General features: G+C 41.4%; 1 protein-coding gene across 11 annotated transcripts in view; it reads left to right on the top strand.

Moving 5' to 3' along the window:
* Positions 1-18275, top strand: part of NBAS (NBAS subunit of NRZ tethering complex) — a 782426-nt gene that overhangs the window by 254680 nt on the left and 509471 nt on the right. For all 11 annotated transcript variants that reach the window (XR_007076390.1, NR_052013.3, XM_017004317.2 and 8 more), the window contains one exon: positions 13889-14118. Coding sequence is in view for 9 of the 11 variants with exons in the window: in XM_017004317.2 (XP_016859806.1) it covers positions 13889-14118 (230 nt within the window). In the remaining 2 variants the exon portion in view is untranslated. The remainder of the gene's footprint in view (positions 1-13888; positions 14119-18275) is intronic.

Below are 18275 nucleotides of genomic sequence, written 5' to 3'. Positions count from 1 at the left end.
ACATGGTAGAAAGCATATTTTATTTCCAGGTCTTATATTTTATGTAAGGAAATAATTTCATGTGTCTGTCAAAGTTCTAGCTGCCTCAACCTTCCAAATCATATCTAAGAACTAGGATGATGTGAAAACCTTCCATTTGTGGTGGTAGATAGGCTTTCATTCATCAGTGTTTATTTACAAGAAGACACGTGGAAAGACCATCCATAACACATGACTCTCCCAGGACACCATCACTATTGGGTGTATATTGGTTTTGGGCATATTTTATTCTCATGTCAGCATTTGGACAAGAAACAGGAATGCTTTATTCTTTTAACCAGTTTGCCTAAGGTGTTACTTTGTTTTGGGAATGGTGTTTTTTGTTCTTTGGTAGCTACTGCTGCTTTATACAGATACTTATTTTATATAACTTTATTATACTCTAGTAATTTTGTTTTTTTATATCTCAGGTATGGCTTAATGTGAAATAAGAAACATGCATTAATATGTATTATAAATTAAGGGACTGAAGTGATTAAGTGGAAATTTGGCAAATGTATTTTACTCTTACCTTTTCATTAGTGCTATGTGTGTACACAAGTGCCAAATAATTTCCTCTAAAACTCTAAGTACATTGAAACACAGTGAAGCTTTACTTTGACCAAATGCATAGTACCTTATTGTAAACTTGAATTTTTTCCCCCTAAAGGTCAGTTGAGTTCTCAAAATATATTTTACTGAGGTCTCTAAGTGGATGTCATTGAACTGGGTTGCTGGTGCTGAAATTAGATCTCACTCTTCCATTCCAACTATATCATCTTTATTAAGGTCCTACTGTTTGCCTACCCCATGCTGTACCTTTCCTGAATACATAAGATTGGAAGGCCACTATATTTGTCCATTTTCATACTGCCATAAAGAACTTCCCAGGCCAGGTGCAGTGGCTCATGCCTGTAATCACAACACTTTGGGAGACCGAGGCAGGTGGATCACTTGAGGTCAGGAGTTCGAGACCAGCCAACATGGTGAAACCCCGCCTCTACTAAAAATATAAAAATTAGCTGGGCATGGTGGCGGGCACCTGTAATCCCAACTACTGGGGAGGCTGAGGCAGGCGAATCGCTTGAATCTGGGAGGCGGAGGTTGCAGTGAGCTGAGATCGCGCCGTTGCACTCCGCCTGGGCAACAAGAGTGAAATTCCATCTAAAAAAAAAAAAAAAAAAAAACTGCTCGAGACTGAGTAATTTATAAAGAAAGAGATTTAATTGACTCACAGTTCAGCATGGAGCATGGCTGGGGAGGCCTCACAAAACTTACAATCATGGAGGAAGGTGAGCAGGAACCAAGGCACTTTCTTCACAAAATGGCAGGAAAGAGAAATGCCAAGCAAAGCGGGAAGAGCCCCTTATAAAACCATCAGATCTCATGAGAACAGCTTGGGGGAAACCACCCCCATGATCCAGTTACCTCCACCTGGCCTCTCCCTTGACACTTGGGGATTATGGGGGTTATAATTCAAGATGAGATTTGAGTGGGGACACAGAGCGTAATCATATCATTCTGCCTCTGGCCTCTCCCAAATCTCATATCCCTTTCACATTTCAAAACCAGTCATGCTTTCCCAACAGTTCCCCAGAATCTTAATTTGTTCTAGCACTAACCCAAAAGTCCAAGTCCAAAGGCTTATCTGAGACAAGGCAAGTCCCTCCTGCCTATGAGCCTGTAAAATCAAAAGCAAGTTAGTTACTTCCTAGAACTAACTGTGCTCTGCTTCCCTTTTAAACATGAGTTCCAATTCCAAACCATCTCTTTTTGTGAATGCATAAAACTGATTGCTTTTAAGAGCATCCAAGTCACCTTTTGAATGATTTGCTTTTTAGAAATTTCTCCCACCAGAAACCCTAAATCATCTCTCTCAAGCAAAGTTCTACAGGTCTCTAGGGCAGGGGCAAAATGCCAGCAGTCTCTTTGCTAAAGAATAGCAAGAGTCGTCTTTGTCCCCAACAAGTTCCTCATCTCCGTCTGAGACTACCTCAACCTGGACTTCATTGTCCGTATCACTATCAGCATTTTGGTCAAAGTCATTCAACAAGTCTCTAGGAACTTCTAAACCCTTCCACATCTTTCTGTCTTCTTCTGAGCCCTCCAAACTGTTCCAGCCTCTGCCCATGGCCTAGTTCCAAAGTTGCTTTCACATTTTCGGGTATCTTTATAGCAGTACCCCACTTTCTGCAGTATTAATTTACTGTTTTAGTCTGTTTTTATACTGCTGTAAAGAACTACCTGAGACTTGAAAGAGTTTTAATTGACTCACAGTTCAGCATGGCTGGGGAGGCCTCAGGAAACTTTCAATCATGACAGAAGGCAAAGGGGAAGAAAGGCACTTTCTTCCCAAGGCAGCAGGAAGAAGTGCTGAGCAAAGCAGGAAAAGCCCCTTTATAAAACTATCAGATGTTGTGAGAACTCACTCATTACCACCAGAACGGCATGGGGGAAACCACCCTCATGATTCAGTTATCTTCATCTGGTCTTTCCCTTGACACATGGGGATTATAGGGATTATAATTCAAGATGAGGTTTGGGTGGGGACACAAACCTAACCATATCAGCCACTCCATCAGTCAGCTGTCAGTCGTTAAGCATCCCTCATGTGCCACACCCTGCTTCTGAGCCTTGGTGTTGGAAGATGACTATGGCATGATGCTGGACCTCAAGACCTTGCTGCTTGCTCTAAATCCATATGAGACAGTTAAGTAAATGTGGATTAGACTGGCAGCAAAGTAGAGAACTGAAGATGGATGTTGGACAGACAACAAGTTACAGCTTTTAAGAAAGCTGAAAAGCTGGCTCCACAGCCACATTTTGGCCTATAATCTTCAGTTTCATTTCTTTAATTAAAGTAGTTCTCTTGGAGGAAAATTGTAGTACAACTTATATCTTTCTTGTTTTCCCTGATAGTAAATTACTTTGTACCAAAATGAAAAGTCCTAATGCATGTACTGTTTGTGACTCAGATAAGTCAGGAGAAAACCATTACATTCCATCCCACCTTTTGTATCTGGCCACCACTCTTTCCAAATTCACACACCACAGTCACTCTGCAGGAAACCCTATTTGGGGTGTCCACAGCTAAAGCTTGCCAAGAAATAAAGCAAAATACTGAAGGATAAGGGTTCGAAGTAGGTGTGTTTATCTTGGTTTCTGCTTCTGTGTTCCTACAGTTCTTTCCACTTGGTGGAAAGTGTGTTTTATTTCCAGGTCTTATATTTTGTGTACCCTTTTATCAATTCAGCGTTAGAGTACCTACTCTAAAGGACATAGAGCTTGACATTGTGGTATAAAGAATACATCTGGGTTTTTATTCCTTTCTCCCTCTTACCCCGATTTCTGTTTCTTCCATCCAGCTTCTATCAACCCACCATCTCTGCCCATTAACTGTCGTTCTTATTTCTATCACTGTTTTCCTATTGTATTAGTCAGGGTTTTCTAGAGCGGCAGAAGGAATAGGATATATGTATATATGAAGGAGAGTTTATTAAGCAGTATTGACTCACACTACCCACAATGATGAATTCCCACAATAGGCAATCTGCAAGCTGAGGAGCAAGGAAGCCAGTCCAAGTCCCAAAACCTCAAAAGAAGGGAAGCCGACAGTGCAGTCTCCAGTCTGCAGCTGAAAGCCCAAGAGCCACTAACAAACCACTGGTGTAAGCCCAAGAGTCCAAAAGCTGAAGAACTTGGAGTCTGATGTTCAAGGGCAGGAAGCATCCAGCATGGGAGAAAGATGAAGGCTGGAAGACTTGGCCAGTTGGCTTCTCCCACCTTCTTCTGCCTGCTTTATTCTAGGCACACTGGCAGCTGATTAGACAGTGCTCACCCACATTGAGGGTGGGTCTGCCTCTCCCAGTCCACTGACTCAAATGTTAACCTTCTTTGGCAACACCCTCACAGACACACCCAGGAACAATACTTTGCATTCCTCAATCCAATCAAGTTGATACTTAATATTAACCATCACATCTATCAAATTGTCTCTTCCTTTGAAAGTGTTCCTTGGAGCTCTCCTGCCCTCATGCTATCTCTTGTTCTCTAATTCCTGGTTGTCACACTACCCACCCACCCTGTGGCATAGTTCCAGCCACCCACCACCATTCCCTTTCTGGGTGCAACAACATAGGGTAGCCGCTGTTCAGAGTCATTGCTTGAGGAAGCAGCATTAATCCTGTGGGAACAGAAGCCAGTACAGTACATGGGGCCCAGTGATGATGCCTGAACACCGGATTTCTAACCTTTCAGCTGCTCCAGATGGAAAGAGGTGCTCTCTGGTAGCCTGAGATAGCACATGGGCATGAGTCAGCTAGTTCTCCAGGGACTTCTTGGCAACTTCTGGAAAGCATCCGATTGTAGGTCTAAAAGTAGAAGTGAAGAGTTAGAGAGAATCCAGGATGTTTTTCCTATCAAGATGCAAAGCCTTTTTGAATGTCTTCCAGACAGACAGATACATCACCAGTGAGTGGGTGAGAGTTACCACCTCTCCATTTGTTTCCATCTCTCCACCCTGTGTTCTCACCTTAATTCAGTCTTTCATAGTTCTTCACCTAAACGTCCTGCGACAGCCTCGTGAACATCACCTTGTCTTCATTTATTTACTTCTGTATTTTCCCCCAAACAACTGCCAGAGTAGTCATTCTAAAATGGAGGTGTAGACATCCTCCTCTCCACCCAAAATCCTTCAGGATCTCCCGTTGCCCCAGCATGCTCTGCACATCCCATGATTGGCCTCTGTTTTTCCAACTTCATCCTTCCATGCTGCAGCCATACCAAAAACTCTGCCTTTAATGCTTTTTGCTACCATTTCTTTGCTTAGCTACTTGGTTCAGGTGTTACCTCACTCAGGAACCTTTCTCCAGTCCTCCAAGCTGGATTGGGTCCTCCCCCATGTGCTTTTGTACTCCCCTGTACTTACCTCTGTCAGAGCGCATGTATTCTATTGTTTTGAACGTAAATACTTTTCATCTTACTGGAAGAAGGTGGGATAAGCTGCCTTGCTGAGCCTTCTGGCTTTCATCTTTCTTCTGAGCTGGATGTGTTCTGTTCTTGGACATCAGATCTGGCGCTGTCTCCAGGAATTGAATTGGAGGACACCAGTTCCTGTCTGCTCCCAAACTGATTGCTCACTTGGTGGGGAGAAACTCTTCCCCCATTTTTGGTCACAGACATCTTCTGTGTTGGTGATTGTTGTGGTGTGAGAGCAGAGCAGAACACGGTGTGGGATTTTTCTAAACAGCTGTCTTAAAGTACCTTTCACGTTCATTCTGCTGTTTGATCCTTTGAGCAACCTCATTTCTCAGAAAAGGAATCTTCTTTATAGAAGATACAACTCAGAAGTGTGGTTACTTCCTCAAGGTTACTCTGGTAAAAAGTAACATCCTGTCATGTAAAGCCCCTGATTCCAGGCTTTACCTGCTTTTTACTTGGACAGCGACCGCTCAAGCTTTGTTTCCAGAGAAGCAGTGTCAGTCTTTTTCAGACATGAGTGATCTTGGTGGCATGCAAACTTAACGGGTAATTCCCAGCAGGATATTTTCATGTGCCACTCCATGTCTACCAGGTAACATCCTGCATATGACAGATAAGACCCTCAGTGAACTGGCTGGCTCTTCCTTACCCCTCCAGCCGTGCTTCCTGACACTGCTTCTTTTGAAGCTTATGTTCTGGCTGCTCAGAACTTAGATTTCTCTGAATTTAACATCCTTTGTTGTGCCTCTGTGCACATGCAGATCCAGTTCCCCATCTGAAATACTTCTTCCTTCTCCCCGCTGTGGGCAGGCAAGTCTGAGCTCAGAGGCGCCTCCTCTGAAACTTACTTGGCCTCCTTCCATCTCTGTCTGTTCCTTGTGTGTGCACCCATGGAAGCAGTTATTTTAGGATGACAGTCGATACACATCTCTCTCCGCTCAGTGTGGCAACCTTATTTGAAGACAGGAATTCTCTTGCTTCCTGTATCACCAGACCTAGCCCACTGTAGTTGTTCAGTGACTGTTGATGGTATGTAGATGAGTTCAGGAGTCATGTCAAGTGCTGCATGTCAGGACAGCTTGAGGCTTCAGGTTTGCAGTTGTGAGTTCTGACCCTCATGGATTTGAAGGAAACACTGGTAGACATGATAGTTGGATGTTGGATGTTTTAAGTATATAGGAGTTTTTCATTGACTGCCTAATGGCTCATTATTTGAGTGTTTTCAGCATCTTCCTCTGCATAAAACAGCACTGCTGAGTTTGGAATTAAATATGACAAACTCCAGATGAATCATCTTGGAAATTGAAATCAAAGTGGTTTCAATTTGTTGCCTGCACATAATAACACCCAGTGAAGCTTAGCTTTCACTCAGTTGTCAGTTCAACTTGTTTCTAATTCCACAGTCTTTTCACATTTTCTCTTTCCACCTCCTGGATATGCGCTGCAGGAATGCTAACTTAGGTAGATTACTAGCCTTGGATAAAAGTATTGATAGAATTTGTGGGCTTATTTCTCATGCACAGCCTGTGCATCTTGAAGGGCAGCATCGTCCTGAGCCAGCAGAGGCCCCCTGGAGCCCAGCAGCTCTCTCAGATGATCCATGGAGCTGCCTCCCTCGCCTGCATTTTTCCTTTTAATTTTATGCATTGATGGTTAGCAAATGGTCAGTCTGAGAGAATTTTCTCTTCTAGTATTTGTTCTAATTAACTCATTTTTACGTTTTTAAAAAATACACATGTGACCCCAAAACTCAAGTGTTGAAAATAGTATATAATAATAAGTCAGTGTTTCCCATTTGTATCCATCCAGAGATAGTTGATGGCTGTACATACTTATATAACTATTTTTTAGACAGATGTAAGTAGGCTGTGCACATTGTTCTGTATCTTGATTTTTTTTCCCTCATATCTTACCTTTGTAATTGTTGTAAATGTATTTTGAAGTGTGATCTTTGCAGCATTCTTTTAAAAAAGTGTTCAGAAGGTAAAATCGGTTAAAAATGGAAACGTCCTTTAGTTTTATAGACTAGGGAAGCAAACTCAGCGGGGGATGACATTCAGAATTTTATGGTAGACTATTTCTAAAATGCGTTTTTTTAAGCTACTAATTGAAAATACTAAGTAGAAAATTATCTCAAGCAAAATAACAACCCTAAAGGGGAAACACACCACCTGTTTAAAACTTTCGAAATAATATTACCAAGAAATGTAGAGACTATTAAACCAGAATAGATTTATTACCTCTAGTAGTAAGCAGTAGATTAAGTCATTGAGCATTTTGTTGTCATGAATATTTATGCACATTTTGTTTTTACGGGGATTTGACCATATTCTTTAAAGAAATCATACTTTATTCACCTCCCTGAAGAACTGCATTGCCAAGTTTTGAGGGGAAAATCAAGTAATTTAACTCTTCACAATTTCCTTTTTAAATTATGAATGGCTTTTTATGCTGTTAGTTTTTGCAGCCTGTGCTATTTTGCCATATCACTTTGAATACTGAATATGGAAGATTTTGAAGCTGCCCAGAGAGCTCTTCATAAGCTTCCTAGAGGCTAAAAGCTTTCATACCCATGCGTCATGTCACTGAAGTCAGATGCTGGAAAGAGGGAGGGAAGTCTGAGTGTACTCTGAACACCAAGACTTCCGAGTGATTCTGGGTGTGAAGCTGGATGTAGAGCAACTCATGGAGACTTGCTCAGCAGTGTGGGGCAAGCGGGTGGGAAGCCAGGTGGCTTGAGTCACTCTCCAGCTGCAAGACTACAGCTCCGGATGCTTCAACTACAAATGGGCGTGTCTCTAAAACAAGAAACAGTGTTTCCCGTGCACATCCCCAGCTTGATAGGAGGGTCAAATGAAAATCACGTGAAAATGCTTTCGAAACTTTAATTGTTGTGTACTTGTGCAGTGAATAAATGAACGTATGAAATGCAGTGTTGGAATGAGTAGGAGATGCTTTGGAATATTTTGGGAGAAGTAGTGATAAGCTCAGGGGAAGAATTTTTACTCAAATTTAATTTGAATATCGGAAGTAATCATAACCAGTAAAATTTCTTGAGGAAGAGATAGAAAGTACCAGTGGCAATGATCAGAAAATAATTTGCATAGGGAGCTAGAACTTACAAATGCTCATTCATCCAGTTTCATTTAGTCTTTATGGGGATTCAGAAGAAATTGCTTCAGTTTTAGAAATGGAAAATTTACAGCTCAGAGGGAAAAACTAGTAATCCAGGTCATTGATGCCAACTCCTGTGTTTTTCCCCTGTAAGTAATTTTTTCTTAGAAGCTTTTGTGAGAAATTGTCTCCTCTCATTTTTGTAAGTTCTTCTCAGTATCATGTTTTATACAATAAATTGAAGTACTGAAAATTTTTTTATACACAAATATTTGATGAGCTATAAACTTGTATATACTTACAACCTGTTATCAAAAAATTAATAGAATTTCCCTAACCACCACCTTCTTACTTATTTCTCGTAGAGATGGGGTCTCACTATGTCACTCAGGCTGGTCCCAAACCCCTGGGCTCAAGCAGTCCTCCCACCTTGGCCTCCCAAAGTGCTGGGATTACATACAGGCACAAGCATCCGTGCCCAGCCTCACCACTTTATTAAGACAGAATTTTAAAAGGAAGTATATTTATTTCAGGGAGTTTAACAGAAAATGGTATTGTTGCTTGTGATTCTAAAACACCGTTATCATTAGAGAAGAAAAAGCAAGCGGCTCAAATAGAATATCCAGTTGAAAACCTAATGGGTGTTTATATTTACACACACACACAGACACACACACACAGACACAAGCACATATATATGGCATGAGAGGAGGAATATATGGAAAAATGTCTACCTGGAACAATACGGAATGACAGCATTAAATCTATCATTGAAAATCTGTCATTTGTAAAAGGACTCTAATGGCAAGTGTATTAGTTCACTCGCACACTGCTATAAAGAACTAACTGAGACTGGGTAATTTATGAAGAAAAGAGGTTTAATTGACTCATAGCTCCACAGGCTTAACAGGAAGCATGGCTGGGAGGCCTCAGAAAACTTGGCAATCATGGCAGAAGGCGATGGGGAAGCCAGCACATCTTACCATGGTGGAGCAGGAGAAAGAGAGCAAGGTGGGAAGTGCCACACACTTTTAAACAACCAGATGTCATGAGAACTCCATCACGAGAACAGCAAGGGGGGAAGTCTGCCCCCATGATTCAGTTACCTCCCACCAGGGCCTTTTTCAGCACATGGGGATTACAATTCGAGATGAGATTTGGGTGGGGACACAAAGCCAAGTTATAACAGCAAGTCTTACATGTAGTGGGAGCTGTGTCTACATTGGTCCAATCAAGAGCCTTGTATTTTTAAGAGATATCCCTCCCTACATACCGAATATAAAAGGATGGTTCTTAGGAAGCATTATGCATGGGAGTCATAGCACTGCTTTGTCACTTACCAGCTTAAAGGCCTTAGATCTAAGTTCATTCTTTATTCATCCGTAAAACAGAGATGACAGTAAGAGATGCCTGTCCTACAGAGTTGTTAATGCAAAATGAGACTCAGTACATGTTTTAGCAGTAGGCGTGTTCCATCCTGAAGACTGAAATACTAGGTTTTTATTCTTAAATATCTGTTGGGAAAAGTGAATAAGTTTCTCCTACAAAGAATATGAAATAAAAATGATTCACAGAGGAATAGATAATTTGTATGTAGTAAGTGAGAAGAGGTTAAAGTTGTATAAACTGTGTAGAAATCTGATGGCTATAATTTGTGGCCTGAAATTCTAATTTATTTGTTTGTTTATTTATTTATTTATTTTTGAGATCAGGATCTCATTCTGTCCCACAGGCTGGAGAACAGTGGTGTGATCATAGCTCACTGCAGCTTGAACTCCTGAGCTCAAGTGATCCTTGTGCTTCAGCCTCCCTAGTAGGTAGGACTACAGGCATGCACCATTATGGCAGGCTAAGTTTCATTTTCTTAATTTTTTTGTGGAGACAGGGTCTCACTATGTTGCCCAGGCTGGTCTTAAACTTCTGGCCTCAATTGAGCCTCCAGCCTCGTAGAACATCCTTCTTTCTACACCTGGAGGGATTTGCAAAGTTTTTTTTTTTGTTTTGTTTTGTTTTTTTTGAGACAGAGTCTCATGCTGTCACCCAGGCTGGAGTGCAGTAGCACAATCTCAGCTCACTGCAACCTCCACCTCCTAGGTTAAAGTGATTCTCCTACGCTGGGACTACAGGTGAGTGCCACCACACCCGGCTAATTTTTTTGGTACTTTTAGTAGAAACGGGGTTTCTCCATGTTGGCCAGGTTGGTCTTCAACTCCTGACCTCAAGGGGTCCACCTGCCTCTGCCTCCCAAAGTGTTGGGTTTACAGGTGTGAGCCACCATGCCCAGCCTCTTAATGATAAAATTCTTATACATCTGTAGGATTTCAGTCTTAGAAAGGTGATCACCTGGTGATGCTCCTTTGCTTTATATCTGAAGAAACTGAGACCCAGTGGAATCAAGAAAGGGAATCAACTGCTCCTTCCATGGAGTTCCCAAAACTCTTGGCTTATGATTGTGTAAGTCTGCTTATATTTGGATGCCTTCTGTGAATTGTTTATGTGTACATCCTTGTCAATCAGTAGTTTTTAATTCTTTTAGAGTAAGCTCTGTGTCCAATTTGTTTTCATAGAATAATGGAGAAAGGAGAGCTTTAAAATACCTTTTTTTTTTTTTGGTACCTCATAACAAACTGTGAGGAGGATGTGCTATTGACATTCTTTTATAAGTGAGGAAATAGATAGGAGGTATCTTGTTTCAGACTGCATCTCTACTGAGTGGGGAAGCTGCAATATCAACCAGTACTACAGACTTCAAAGCCAGTCCAATCTGCTCCCCCTTTGACCATGTACCTGATTTGTGCAAGAGACTGTGCTGTGTTCTGCAAATTATGATATACACATGATCTCTGCCCTCCAGAAGTTTTAATTTAAGAGAAGGCAATGCAAAATGAATTATACAGTAGAGGCACACTTAAACTATGATTTGTATATGGCTTTTAGCCAATTCCATAATTCCTTTTATTTTTGGAACACCTGCTTCCTACCAGGTCTTGGTTTGTATATTTTATATATATTGTCTCTTAGGCTTCTCACAACCATGAACGCTATATATTATCACTGCTATTTTGTAGATGAGACAATGAAGTTCATAGTTAAGTAATTTGCACAAGGTCATTCAGCTAGTAAGCTCTGTGTGTCTGTGCTTATTTCACTGTGCTGTGTCATTTTATTCATTGGCAAAAGGAGACACTACTGTCTTTTTGTCACATGCGAAGATTGTATGTGGAGACTCAAAACTTTCTGCAGATTACATAAGAGCCTGTGGAAATGTTTGTAGCAATAACCATGCTCATTCTTGCTATACACTTATATTTTGGAGCTTTTCTCTTCACCTAGCCTTGGGATTTGTTTCATAGACTATATTAGAATACAAAAAGAATAGAAATCAGCAGGGGTTCTACCATTGAGGCTAATGAGAAGTGTAGGCCACTCTGCCAGTACATGTATTAAATCTTGGAGATAATAAAAAGTCAAAAATGAATGTGGAAGAAAACTATGAGAAACCATTGGGAGAACTAAGGTAGCTGGTTCTATGAGTAGGGGATAGAAACAATAGCCTGGTAAAGAGAGGGACATGGAGTTATACGCAGAGATAGGTTAGATGGTTATAGCCTTTCCTTCAAGGTATATTCAGCAAGTTCAGGCTGAAAACTTCAGTCTGAAAGCACCAGGTGAGAATATACATGAAGAAAAGCCTTCTTCATTGTTTTGGTGAACATAGATTTGGTTGTGGGGTGTAAATCTGGGGCACTAGGAACTCCTTCAAGGAACAACTGAAAAGAGCTCTCCTGCCACCCTAAAACCATGATCATTGGATATTTGGTCTTGCTGTCTTTACAACTGGGAAGAAAAGTGCAAATCAGATGAGGCATAAGAGCAGCAGGCCACGGCAGTGCACACCAGAGTGCTGAGCAGGTGAAGATGGGCCAGCTGGCCCATGAGCAGCATCCCTGGGTCAGGGAACTGCAGAGGTGGCTGTGCACGTGCTGGAGGTTCAGGATGGTGCCCTGAGGGGTTTGGCCAACAGATAGAAAAGGGATTTAGTTAAATGTCAGCCATAGATGCACTAAGAGCTGGGGCACGGCATCCCCTTTGCCTAAATCTGTCGCCAGGAATACTGTTTATATGCAGCTGGTTCCCAAATCACTCTCTAATTGCAGTTAGATTTGGCTTATACACTTCATTTTTCCCTCAAGCCTTAGCCATATAGGTGTTAGCACATTTTCTACCTTTTACTGGAATTTGTCTCCCTGTTTTTTGCTGCCCTCGTTATTACTGGTATGGTACCTGAGTATTTAACCTAGACATTAACTCTTTGAAGAAGACTTCGATAACACCTGCCCACTCCTGTGTATTCCCAGAGCACCCTAGGCTTACTTGTGTCACACCATTTTACAGTTGTTTGCATGACTGTCTGTCCTAATAGACTGTATTCCTGTAGGGAAGGGCCGTGTCCTCTTAGTGAATGACTTGTTACATAACAGGTGCACAAGAAATTTATTGAAGGAATGAAAGATGGCCTTGTAGCTTACTATGGAATAGTTCGTATTCAAACCCAGGTCTTTTAACTTGAGACACATATTTGTGGTTTTGAGAGTAGGACTCAGTGTATGCATAGAGGTAGGGAAAAAAATAAATATAGTAAGATTGACTTTTACTCAAATCCACATGCCAGAATCTAAGAAGATACCTTTAACTGTTTTTTATCAGCACTCCCAGATTGTTCCTTAATAGGATCAAGAGAGAGAATGTCAGGCTGGGTTTGGTAATCTAGACTCGACATTGACAAATCTCCTGTGCAGATCAGAATAATGGCTTACACATTAGAAATGCTGACAGCTTACTATAATTAGCTGTGTGTTTCTGAGAACCAAAGGTAGATTCTTTTTTTTTTCTCTAATTTGCTTATATTAAATATGTAGCATGTCTTCCCAGGAATTGGGATGGATTGAATTAATGCTGTTCAAGTATTAAACTCCCTATTAGTAATTCCAAAATCATGGCTCAGCTCTGTAACTTCATTAACACCCAGACCAACTTTAATATAAATAAATGTGGCTAGTTAATCACTTACTCTCCTTTCCTGTCAGCTGTTGGATTCTAGGTTGTGTTCTATTTGAATGAGTTTCTTGTTATTAGAGAAGCTGCTAAGAATCGTAGAATAATATCCCATTGAGCCCCAAATTAGAGGAGTAAAAATTGGTTGGATGCCTTTTTTTATGCAACTTGCACTATTTATGATTTCAGGAACAGGGTAGAGGTTTTTTCCCGAACTTATCCCTGGAGAAAATACTTTTCTCCTCAGGGGTCTAGCCATTTATAGTGAGGTTATTGAACTGCACCTTTGTTATTGAGAACACTTACTGTAGTCCACAGAAAATTTATCCAGAGGCAATGGCGATGAAAATTACTTCTAGAGTGAGTTACTGTGAGTGATCAGATGGTTGGCAGACAAATCTGATGGAGGTTTATAATAGTTGAAAGAGCAAGAATATATTGTTTTTTAAGTGTTCGGAGGTTTTGAGGTTGAAGAATAACAGAGCAAGAGTTCAAAAAGCTGTTTTTGGGCCTAGTTCTGTGTCCTGTCTTTGTGGTCTGCTAACTGGGTAAAGTGCCACTTCTGCAACTGACTTTTCAGGGCCGTTGTGAGCCTTATGAAATGGCAATAGTGTACAGGGCCAAACAGTTCCTTGCAGACATGGTCTTCTTCCATTTGTTACTCACTTGCTCGTGTTTGTATGATGTTGGTAAAATGTCTTCTTTTCCATGTCTTTCATAGGCTGATCCCAAAGAACTAATCAAGATGGTCACCAGGCATGTGACTCGACATGAGCACGAAGCCTGGCCTGAAGACCTTATTTCACTGACCAAGCAGTTACACTGCTACAATGAACGTCTCCTGGATTTCACTCAGGCGCAGATCCTTCAGGGCCTTCGGAAGGGTGTGGACGTGCAGCGGTTTACTGCAGATGACCAGTATAAAAGGGAAACTATCCTTGGTCTGGCAGAGTAAGTGATACCCTTTGTTTCATAAGGGGATGGATTTAAACTGCAAAAGAATAAGTTCAGTTACCAGGACTATTAATTTCAGTCCTTTGAAGTTTTACATTCATGGTTGCTATGAATAGGGCTTTCCCCAACTTCATCTAGTCTTATGTGGGATGTGTGCCTTCTCCAAACCGATCAGTAGATGCAGCCAGCATTCCCAGCTAAAAAAAGTTTCCCATGATGTTTAAATCATTAGTTAAAATAATGATTTTTGGATGGGTGTGGTGGCTCATGCCTGTAATCCCAGCACTTTGGGAGGCCAAGGTGGCCCAAGATCTCAAGATCCCTTAAGGCCAGGAGTTTGAGACCAGCCTGGCCAACATGGCAAAACCCCATCTCTACTAAAAATACAAAAATTAGCCAGGTGTAGTAGCATATGCCTGTAATCCCAGCAACTTGGGAGGCTGAGGCACGAGAATCCTTTGAACCCGGAAGGTGGAGGCCACAGTGAGCTGAGATCATGCCACTGCACTCCACCCCAGCTTGGGCAACAGAGCGAGACCCTGTCTCAAAAATATCAAATAATGATTTTTTAAGCTTATTTTTTAAAGTTACTATTTTTTTTTAAAGTTTCCTGTAGTTTTGATAGCCCAGTTCTAAGATTATGACCATGTTAGAGGTAATAACATGTGATCAGGGGCGAAAAATGGGAAGCTCAGGATGGAAATTTAAAAATAAGATTGTCCTTTGTGTCTGGCTAGAAATCTCAGTTTTCAAAGCACATGGCACTTTAATTTCTTCTTCAGTATGGTAAACTAGATACAATTGACTTGTTGTTCAGGGTGACTTTATCTGTCCTGGTCTTCTAGAGAACCAGAAACCAGCTGTTTCTCCTTTAGTCCCTTCCCCCTGTCAAGGGAAGAGCAGGCCTGTTGTGAGATGGTTGCTCAGTTCAAGGCCCAGGCGGAGACCTTGGTTTCTCAATGTGGAATTCCCTTTGGTTTTAGTGCTGGTGTTTGCTTTTTGTTTTAGTTGTTCAGGTCAAATGAGAAGTATTTACATGTCAGAAGTTGGGAAAATGTGTTCACCCACAACAGTTATTAAGTAGAGATGTTTTGTTTCTAAGACCACAATTTATTGAGTGCTTATCATGGGCAAGGCACTGTGCAAAGTGCTCTATAAACTTTGTATAAATGTCTTTTAATCCTCAAGGATAACCCTGTGAGATAAAATGTTGTTATCCCTAGTTTATAGTTAAGAAAAATGGTGCTTAGGGATATTAAGTAACTGCCTAAGTTCCATAGATGGTGAGAATCACAGCTATGATTTTAGCCTGGATCCATCCAAAGCCTCACATCTTCACCACAGCACCACAGGCCTCCCCTACAACCCATTGCATTCTCAAAAAAGCAGTGGATGTGATTCAGTCTCTAGGCTTCCAGCCTTTGAAACTAAGGTAAAATGGTGCGTACATTTAATGGTTATTTTTCTCTCCTGACAAATTACTTTAAAATAGCAAAGATAATCTTCATTATGATAGTGGAGTATGTTATTTTTTATCATTATCATTTAAATCCTTGAGAAGGTGGCAAACTCATCTTGGTTCTTTGTAATAATTTTATATTAGCCTGAACTTCTTTCTTATACCCCAAATTCTTCTTCTACACCCAAAATTATCTTTAGAACGAGGCATGGCATAGAGAGATCAAAAGAAAAATAGCAGGAACAACCTATAGCTGGTCTCAATTAAGAAGAGAAATATGGAATTGTTTTTCTCTTCTCCTCTGTCCTTCTGGAGGTTCATAATTTCATAACGTCATTTAGTGTCCAATTTGAAAGTAACCTAAGCCAACCTTCTGACTTTTAAGAAAAGGAATCAGAACTAGAGAGCTTTAAAGAGTTGCTCAAAGTCACACAGCCAGGAGTTGAGCTTGGGTTTCTTAAGTCCAGTATGCTTTTGCTATGGACGTTTGGTAATCCTTGGTGCCATGTTCACGGTTTCTTAGAAGGTGATTATCATGCAGAATAAAAACTCATAAGGCAGGGCGTGCCTTATATCATCAGTTACATTTTGCTAGAGTTTTTGGCCTTTATTTTCTTTGTTAAGCATACAGCTAGCATATGCTATTTGAAGTATGTTCTAGAGGACAAATATATGCTTTTGATAAATATATAATAGAATCTTCTGTACAATCTGTTACTTAGAAAAATATACAGCAGTGTTTGAATGGCTTCTTTAAGATGCCTCAGAGTTTCCACCAGCTTGCTGCTTTCCTCTTCTACTGTGGAGCTGGGTTGTCAATGTCTTGCACACAAGAATTCTTGAAGGATTTGTGTCCTTCCGTTTGCAGCATCACCTTCACTTGTACATAGAGTGACCATTCTTCCTTGTCTTTCTCACTGCATGTCCCTTTTCTCTTCTCTTCTCTCTCCTCTCTCCCCTCTCCCCTCTCCTCTCTCCCCTCTCCCCTCTACTCTCTCCCCTATCCCCTCTCCTCTGTCCCCTCTCCCCTCTTCTCCTCTCCTCTCTTCTCCTCTCTTCTTTTTTCTTTTCTTTTCTTTTTGATGGAGTCTCGCTCTGGCGCCAGGCTGGAGGGCTGTGGCACGATCTCAGCTCACCACAACCTCCACCTCCCAGGTTGAAGTGATTATCCTGCCTCAACCTCTCGAGTAGCTGGGACTACAGGTGCATGCCACCATACCCAGCTAATTTTTTGTATTTTCAGTAGAGACAGGGTTTCACCGTATTAGCTAGGATGGTCTCAATCTCCTGACCTCGTGATCCGCCTGCCTTGGCCTCTCAAAGTGCTAGGATTACAGGCATGAGCCACCGCGCCCAGCTGCATGTCCATTTTCATGGCATTAGTTTTCTGTAAGTGCATTGTACCTGTCCTTTACTATCTGTATGTCTCAGGGAATACATTCTCAGGGGTCAGGCAGGGTAACTGTGAAGAGGGTATAACATAGTTTGGGTCCTTCCCACCTTTATCAAGAGATAAAGATATCAGTCCTTATTGAAAATGTCTTGTGCCAGGCAATGTGCCATAACCCCATAATAGAAAGGATGAATTAGTAATGGTCCCCTGTTCTCAAGGAATTCTCATTCCATGATGTGGAGGTAGGTACTCAAATAAATACTTCAAGAGACAATTTCTAGGCCAGATATGGTGGCTCACACCTGTAATCCCAGCACTTTGGGAGGCCAAGGTGAGAGGAATGCTTGAGGCCAGGAGTTCACTACCAGCCCTGGCAACATAGCAAGACCTTGTCTCTACCAAAAAAACAAAAACAAAAACAAACAAAAAACTAGGTGTGGCAGTGTTTTCCTGAAGTCCCAGCTACTCTGGAGGCTGAGGTGGGTAGGTGGGTGGGTGGATGGCTTGAGCCTGGGAGGTCAAGGCTACAATGAGCCTTGATTGTAGTACTGCACTCCAGCCTGGAAGGCAGAGAAAGACCCTGTCGCAAAAAATAAAAAATAAATAAAAAATAAGAATTGCTAATTGACAATGACCTAATCCATGGGTTGACAAAGTCAATCCAGCCTTGGTCTCTTTTATAGCCCATGAACAAAGAATGGTTTTAGCATTTGTTTTAAGGTTTTATAGTAACACAAAAACAAAAACAAAAGCCATAAAAAGAAGACTATGCCAGAGAGACTGGCAGTAAAGCCTGAAATATTTACTATATTACCTTTCCCAGAAAACGTTTGCCAGCCCCTGGCTATGCAAGCATATAAATGGCATGGTTTCCTTAGCTTGGGGAAATACAGTCTTAGCAGAGTGACTTAATAGTAAGAGATTTCTTTTCTGTCTCTGTGCTTTCACCCACACCATTCTTCCAACTAAAAATTCCATCCTACGTTTCTCTTCTGGAAAATAGGAGTCCTGCAGTAGTCTTTCTAAAATGGCCTTATAATGTGGGTGTTCGGGACTGCTTTCTTGGAACTCTTTATATGCCTAGAGATTCTCAAATCTGGCGATGTCATTCCCTGTTTTAAACTTTTCATGGACTCTTCATTGCCTGGAGAATGAGACGCAGGTCCCCTAGCAGGCCTGAGGACCCAGTACGTTCCTCACTTTGACCTTCGCTTTCTCTCTTATGTCTGAGAAGCCCTCATTCTCTCAGAAGGCTCTTCTCCCTCCCACCCTCTGCTGGGTGTGTGTTTATCCTCCTACTTG

Source organism: Homo sapiens, chromosome 2, assembly GCF_000001405.40.
Source record: "Homo sapiens chromosome 2, GRCh38.p14 Primary Assembly".
Taxonomy (NCBI): domain Eukaryota; kingdom Metazoa; phylum Chordata; class Mammalia; order Primates; family Hominidae; genus Homo; species Homo sapiens.
Note: the sequence above shows the minus strand (reverse complement) of the source record. Positions and strands in the feature narration are given on the sequence as shown.